The sequence below is a fragment of the Homo sapiens genome, chromosome 11, assembly GCF_000001405.40.
Source record: "Homo sapiens chromosome 11, GRCh38.p14 Primary Assembly".
Lineage (NCBI taxonomy): Eukaryota > Metazoa > Chordata > Mammalia > Primates > Hominidae > Homo > Homo sapiens.
Genome location: NC_000011.10, coordinates 28,772,200 through 28,780,736, shown reverse-complemented (window position 1 = coordinate 28,780,736; position 8,537 = coordinate 28,772,200). Strand labels below are relative to the sequence as shown.

At 35.2% G+C, this 8,537-nt stretch overlaps 1 annotated feature.

Annotated features, from left to right (window-relative positions):
* Positions 6,392–6,916: an enhancer, noted in NCBI's record as "NANOG hESC enhancer chr11:28795368-28795892 (GRCh37/hg19 assembly coordinates)". NCBI's record gives its function as "activates a minimal SCP1, AML or CMV promoter by ChIP-STARR-seq in primed H9 embryonic stem cells {active_cell/tissue: H9 hESC(primed)}" and the evidence as "EXISTENCE:reporter gene assay evidence [ECO:0000049][PMID:30033119]".

Here is an 8,537-nt window from a genome sequence, read left to right as displayed (position 1 = left end):
ACAGAATCCCTACTGGGGTGCTGCCTAGTGAAGTTGTGAAAAGAGGACCACTGTCCTCCAAACCCCAGAATGGTAGATCCACCAACAGCTTATACCATATGCTTGGAAAATCCACAGAAACTCAACACCAGCCCATAAAAGCAGTCCACAGGGAGGCTATATCCTCCAAATCCACAGAGACAGAGCTGCCCAAGGCCCTGGGAGCCCACCTCTTGCATCAGCGTGACTTAGCTGTGAGACATGAAGTCAAAAGAGATCATTTTAAAGCCTTAAAATTTAACTGGCCTGCTGGATTGCAAATTTGCATGGGGCCTGTAATCCCTTTGTTTTGGCCGATTTCTCCCATTTGGAATGGCTGTATTTACCCAATGCCTGTACGTTGTATCTAGGAAGTAACTTACTTGCTTTTAATTTTATAGGCTCATAGGCAAAAGGGACTTACCTTCTTTCAAATAAAACTCTGGACTGTGAACTTTTAAGTTAATGCTAAAATAAGTTAAAACTTTGGGGTACTCTTGGGAAGGCATAAGTATTGAAAATGTAAAGACATGAAATTTGAGAGGGGCCAGGGGCAGAATATGGTTTGGCTCTGTGTTCTCACCCAAATCTCATCTTGTAGCTTCCACAATTCTCACCTGTTGTGGGAGGGTCTCAGTGGGAAATAATCGAATGATGGAGTGGGGTGGCGGCTCTTTCCCATGCTGTTCTCAATAGTGAATTAGTGTCACAAAATCTAATGGTTTAAAAAAATGGGAGTTTCCCTGCACAAGCTCTCTCTTTACTTGCTGCCATCCATGTAAAAGGTGACTTGTGCTTCCTTGCCTTCCTCCATAATTATAAGGCTTTCCCAGCCATGTGGAACTGCAAGTTTATTAAACCTCTTCCTTTTGTAAATTGCCCAGTCTTGGCTATGTCTTTATCAGCAGCATAAAAACAAACTAATACAGCCCTGGTTGTGCTATTGCACTCTAGCCTGGCAACAGAGCAAGAACCTGTCTCAAAAAAGAAAAACAAAAAAATCACTTCAGTACTTAACAAGTGTCACATAATTTTTAGGAGAATATTTTTCCCTAATATTTGCCAGAAAAAAAAAAGGTTTTAATGTATGCCTTTGGAACTTATTTCATAATATCATTTTTAAGTTTTACTGATCAACTGTGTTGTTATCTAATGAACTTTATTTATATCTTGGCTCTCTCAATGAGATTTTAAGTTCCCTGGGCAGGAACTAACAAACATTTGCATCATTCCTCTTGATGAGAAAATATAGAAATATTTACTTTTTAATATTCACTTACAAAGACGTAACCAAGAAAAACCTTTATTTTATATTATTTTAAATCACAAAATCCTGAAATAAACCTCAGCTCAAATATAACAACACTTTTTAATCATTACATTAAGCTTTTTCATTGTCAGCGACATGAGGATGAGATTGGGAAATAGAATATCATTAAGTCAATGATTTAGATGAAGGATAATAATTTGCTTTTGAAGTGCAGAGCACATTTCATTCACGAAGAAGATGAGTAACTAGATTTATTTTCTTTCCCCATAAAGTACTAGAATTCAAGGGCATAGTAATTATGACTGGCCTGATTGCTTTCCATGTTTGCAGCCTTTTCAGAGTTACTTACAGCATTTAATCTAACATTTAAACAAGCTCCCCAATTTGGGTTTCAATGATGCTTTCTATGCTTTGAAAATACAAGTTTAAGTTTAGCTCAATTGTACATAAACCATTTGGCCCCCAGTATCAACTGGATGCTTTGTTTATGTGTAGTTTTATGCTGGGCCTGAGTGGTTAAAGAATAGCATCTTTTATTTCTTCTTTTTTTTAAGATGGAGTCTTACTCTTTCATCCTCCCAGGTTCGAGGAATTCTCATGCCTCAGCATCCCAAGTAGCTGGGACTACAGGCACACACCACCACACCCAGCTAATTTTTGTATTTTTAGTAGAGACGGGTTTCACTATGTTGGCCAGGCTGGTCCTGAACTCCTGACCTCAAGTGATATGCCCCAAAGTGCTGGGATTACAGGTATGAGCCACTATGTCCAGCCTAAAAAATGTCACCTTCTGAGACAGGGTCCTCTACCTCATTAGGATAATTATTGAATAAAATTAGAATTCTAAAAGCAAAAAGATAACTTATTTTATAATCCAAAAACATTTTCCCAAAAGTAATCGGAACATGTTTAAATTTTGAATTGAAGTCACATGCCTCCTAATGATTTTCCAAGGTGAGTTAGATCTTAAAAACTATCTGTGAGTTTCAGGCATAATTTTTCTACCGATTATGTCACCAAAACTTCACCTTACATAGCCAAAAATTGTGAGAGTTTTTGGATGTTTGGTTTTCTGGAGCAGTCAGGTGGTTTTATAGAACATATCTGCAAAAGTGGCACCAGTTGAGGTTTACCCACAAAGGGAGGTAATCCTCCCTTGGTGTTCTTGCTTCTCAAATTATTTCTTGGCTTCTCTGAAAATTAAAGAGAAAATACATAACATTTTGTTGCTTTTGTTTTCAATTTCCTTTTCAGTTTCCACTGCAATTCTTTGAATCTTACATTACTTGCATACATACCACATATTGTGAAAAAAATATATTAATACAGAAGCTATTGTTTTACTAAAACAGGGCTTCATGACATATACATTTCTTATCATTTTCTTTCTCTCCCCCAAATACATTATACATAATTGATTTTCTTAGAAACACTGTTTTTCCCTTTGAAGTCCAGTGTAGTAATTTTCAGATAGTTCTGAAATCTGCTGATCTCAGTTAACTTTTCATGCCAGTGAAGGTCATGATTGACATAAATTTAAAGATGAAGACCAAAACTTGAACAAAAAATATTTCAAGAGAATCTATTGTTTTAACCACACTGAAAACAAATGTAAAATTTATATGTTCCCATCTTTTAATGCAATTTTTGTCTCCAGTGAAACTTAACACAAATTTGTACCTCCCAATGTATGAGAAAGGGTTGTAAGATGCAGTGAATGTCAAACAGGGGAGCTGAAAGACAACTGAGAATACTGTACCTATAGCTGGAGATCTCAGAAATTTTAAAAAGTATTGGAACATCGTTATCCAAAGTAGATGACACACGATGAGGGGCAAAAAAACTAACAATTCCTTGTTTCATACAATAGGAATGAAGTTTACCAGTGTAATCTTCATAAGACCAAATTTTGTACTTAACCTAAAAAAAAAAAAAAGCATAGGGAGATGGCTTGAAGGAAAACTTACAAAGACTCCCAATATTTACCCAAAACAGTGCCAATAGAGTGGAGGATAGAAACTCTGTAAATATAGCTGCTCATATCTTTGCCTGAGGTGAACTAAAGGGTAAAAGAACTCCCTCACAGTTAATACTTTGTCATGGAGAATGTCGGTTTAAATACTCCCTAGCCGAAAACACAATCCCGGCCTTGAAACAACGGAGACTTTCATTAACGTTTGGCCAAAGAACATAATTTACTCATTGAAATGCAAGTAATAGTTTCTAAAAATTCTGATGCCTCTTCACATATTAATTTTCTTAAAAAAAAAGAAAAGACGACAACAAATGGCAACTGACAGAGGATTACTTGTTTAGCAACACTACCTTCAATATATCCCTGTACATCGGGACCAGGCACTTGCACAGAAAAATTAAACCAATTATTTAAAGAATAATTAACATTAAAGATATTTCTAGAACATAGAAGAAGAAGTAATACTTTAAATTTTGTTTGTATAAAATTAGCAAAGCATTAATATAAGCCCACAGAAAGACAACTACAAGGAAATCTCATCTATACAACTCAACATAAAAATCTTAAATGGGCCGAGCGTGGTGGCTCAAACCTGTAATCCCAGCACTTTGGGAGGCTGATGTGGGTGAGGTGGGGGTATCACGAGGTTAGGAGTTCGAGACCAGTCTGGCCAACATAGTGAAATCCCGTCTCTACTAAAAATACAAAAAATTAGCCGGGCGTGATGGCGGGCGCCTGTAATCCCAGCTACTCGGGAGGCTGAGGCAGGAGAATTGCGTGAACCCAGGAGGCAGAGGTTGCCGTGGGCCGAGATCATCGCGCCATTGCACTCCAGGCCGGGTGACAGTGCGAGACTGTCTCAACAACACCCCCAAAAAAAAAAAAAAAAAAAAAAAAAAAAAATTTAAACGAAATACTGACAAACAGAATCCAATAGAACATTAAAAGATGAGTGCACCATGATCAACAACATAAAATTTACACAAGGAAAGCAAAGACAACCCAGTATTAGAAGCTATATTGTGTAATTTATCATATTGATACACTTAAAAGTCAAATCATAAATACACTATCAAAATGCTAAGAATATATTTGATAGACTTTTTTAAATATTCAAGAAAGAAATATTGTAAAAAGATATCTTTTAAACATGATAAATGTACATATATCCTCAAAACAAGGATTATATCTTCTGATGAAGCTTTAGTGGTACTCAAATTAAAATTCAGAGAGAAGAACTTTTTGCATACTATTACTACCGTTATATAACATTTTTCTAGATAAAATATGGAAGAATATATAATCAGTATTAATATGAGTAATCTTGGGAAGGGGGTGATGTGAAATACAAGAGACATAAAGGAGAAAAAATGACCAAACTAAAAGGAAAATTTAAAAAATTACAAAAATGATGAATGTAATTTTCTTAATGTATTACATACATATAATCAATCAAACAATAATAAAAATAACAAAAGCACTATACTGCTTGTACACCAGTGCTTCTCAGACTATATTGGTAAAACACCAATCTTTCGATTTTCAACTTATTATGGTTAATATTTTGTTTTTTTTTTATATAGGGTCTCACTGTGTTGCCCAGGTTGGAGTGCAGTGACATGATCATGGCTCACTACAGCCTTGACCTCCCTGGGCTCAAGTGATCCTCCCACCTCAGCTTCCTGAGTAGCTGGGACCACATGTGTGCACCACCATACCCAGGTAATTTTTGTATTTTTTTTTTTTTTATGGAGACAGGGTTTCACCATGTTGCCCAGGCTGTTTTTGAACTCCTGGACTCAAGACATCTACCCATCTCGGCCACCCAAACTGCAGGGATTACAGGCATAAAGCACCACGCCCGACCAGGTAATTTTTTGAATATGATAAATATGAATTTGCAAAACCATCACAACTTCAATAAGAGTCATAATCATGTAAAATTACTCTGAAAGTTTATGTTTAATTCTTGTTTTATTCTTATCGCATTGCAAACCAGTACCAGTACACAGACTATTTTACTCAAGAACTTGAAACAGTGCAAAGCTGTGTTTGTGGATAGGAAGGCCCAATTTCAACATGATAGCAATTCTCCATAAGTGAATTTATAAATATTGTAAAATCACAAAAATATACCAAGAGTTTTTAGAACTATAAAGATCCTAAAGTTTATGTGAAAAAAAAAATAAACTAATTTTGTCAAAATAGCTCTAAAAATAAAAACTGATAAAGAAGAATTAGACATAGCAGCAATTAACATATTTAGGGCTACAATAATTAAAACAGTAAAATAATGACATATGAATAGATACATATCAATGGAACATAACCGAAAGTTCAAACGTAGGCTCAAAATTATTTAGAAATTTAGTTTATTATGAATACAGCACTTCAAATAAGGGGATAAACATTAGCTTATTCAAATAAATGGTGCTGTGAAAACTACATAGCCACACTGAAAAAAAGAACATGGATTTATTAATTATAGAAAAATACATATTTGTGTCAAATATTTTAATGTAAAATATTAATTCATAAACTATATAAAACAAAATGGGAATTTTAGAAATGATCTCAGAGTGGGAAATATCCAACAAAAAGAACAAATGAAAGCTAAATTTTATTGCATTAAAATAAAAAGTACATTGTAAAAATAAGCACGTTAATCAGGTAAAACATGTATCACACACTGGAGGAAAATTCATAACTCATATCACTAAGGTTTTAATTATTTAATATATAAATAATGTCTATCAAAATGAAAACTCAATAAAATAGTCAAATTTTATTAATAGGTCACAGAAACAATAGGCAAATAAATCTTAAATATATGCAAATATACCCATATTTACCCTTAAAAAGAGGAACGCAAATTAAAACAACAATGAATTACCATTTTGGTATTTGTCAAAGAGCAAAAATTTTGATAAGACACTCTATTGAGCAAAGTGTGAAAAACCAGCACTCTCAATGATTGCTAGTGGAAATATATAGCTTTATTTTGTTTCTCATCAACATTCGTTAAAATATTCAAAATGTACATATTCTTTAAACCAGTACTTGTATCCTTAGAAATACTCTAGAGATAGAAACCCACATGATGAAAATAATATATAAATGATATTTGTTAAAATATTTTGATCATGAAAACATTGCAAAAATAAAATCCCCTTAGATGGAGGTTTAATTAAATAAATGATGGCACATCCATGAAATAGAATGCTATATAGGTATAAAAAAGAATGAGAGCAAGATAGCAGAATAGAAGTTTTTAGGACTTAGCCCCTAAAAAAAAAAAAATCAATTTAAACAACCATTTATATGCAAAATTACCTTCACAAGAGCTAAGAAATCCAGGTGAGAGATTATACCACATGAGTGGAGCATAGAAATAAGAAAAGACACATTGAAATGGATAGGAAGGACAGTTTTACATTAATCATGTAACTCCTCCTCTAAGCCCATGAAACACAATACAGAGAGAGATACTCTCCTGGGAGAAAAAGAATAAAGTTTTCAATAACTTTGCTGCACAGCCTAATTTCCAGCACCAGACTGATCTCTGCAACCCTAGTCTTCAAGCCCATCCTAGCACCAAATGTGCCATAATGGCCCTGGGATCCAGCATGGTTCCTGATGTCCCAGACTCCAGGCCTGGCTCAGCACAATGGCAGCCCTTGCAGACTCAGGCTCCAGGTCTGCCACTGTGCCAGGGCTGCTCCGACAGCTCCAGGACAGTCCCTGCAGATTAAGGCTCCAAGCTCACTGCAGTACCAAGTTAACTCCTATAGATCCAAGGCACAGGCAAGCCCACAGACCCCACCAGCCAGCACACTCAAAATCTCTGAAAGGACTTACTAGTGAAGGACTTTCCCTGCAGAAGACAGTCTATAAAGATTGGAAGAAGTGCCTACTTCTTCAAATTCAACAGATACCAAAATAAGATCCAATGATTATGAATAATTAGAGAAACATAATACCAACAAATGAACAACGACAACAAAAAAGCAAAAGTAACTCCCCTTAAATAAATGGAGATCAGCAAACTGCCTGACAAAAAATTCGAAATAATTGTCTTTAAAAGGTTTAGCAAGGTACAAAAGAATACAGAGAGACAACAAAAAGAATTTAGGAAAACAGTCCATGAACAAAAGAGGTTTAACAAAGAGAAAAAAAAAAAAAAACTACAGAAAAGTGCTAAACAAAAATTCCGTTTTTTTGTTTTTTTTTTTTTTTTTTTTTTTTTGAGATGGAGTCTCCCTCTCTCACCCAGTCTGGAGTACTGTGGTGTGATCTCAGCTCACTGCAACCTCCACTTCCTGAGTTCAAGCAATTCTCCTGCCTTAGCCTCCGGAGTAGCTGGGATTACAGGCACACACCACTGCACCCAGCTAATTTTTGTATTTTTAGTAGAGACGGAGTTTTGTCATGTTGGCCAGCCTGGTCTTGAACTCCTGACCTCAGGTGATCTGCCCACCTCGGCTTCCCAAAGTGCTGGGATTACAGGCGTGAGCCACTGTGCCTGACCTCCAAACAGAAACTCTAATGTTGAAAAACACAATAAATGAACTGAAAATTTTCATAGACAGCTTCAATAGTAAACTAAATCAGAAGAAAGAAGCAGCAAGTTCAAAGACTTGGGTCATTTGAATTACCCAATTAGAGAAACAAATAGACAATAATAAAAAAGAATGATGAAAGCCTAGGGGCTTACAGGACATCATCAAGCAAATCAATATGTGCATTATGGGAGTCCCTGAAGTAGCAGAGAAAAAGAAAGGGGACTAAAACTTATTTTTAAAATAATGACAGAAAACTTCCCAAATTTGAAGAGGGAAATGAACATTCTGATCCATGAATGTCAAAGAACTCCAAATAAATTAAACATAAAGAGATCTTCACCAACACACTATATTCAAATGCTCAATAATCAAAGACAAAGAGAATTTTAAAAGCAGCAAGAGAAAAGCAATCTGTCACATACAAGGTAAACTCCATAAGGCTATAAGAAATATTCTCAGCAGCAATAGTGCAGGCTATCTTAGAATGGGCTAATATATTCAAAGGACTAAAGAAAAAAACTGCAACCAAGCATACTATACCAGGCAAGCCTGTCCTTCAAAAATAAAGGAGTGAAAGGCTTTCCAAGATAATCAAAAGATGAGGAAATTTGTCACCACCAGTCCTGCTCTACAAGAAATGCTAAAAGGATTTAAGTTAAAACTGAAAGATGCTAAATAACATTATGAAAACATATGAAAGTAGAAAACTCAC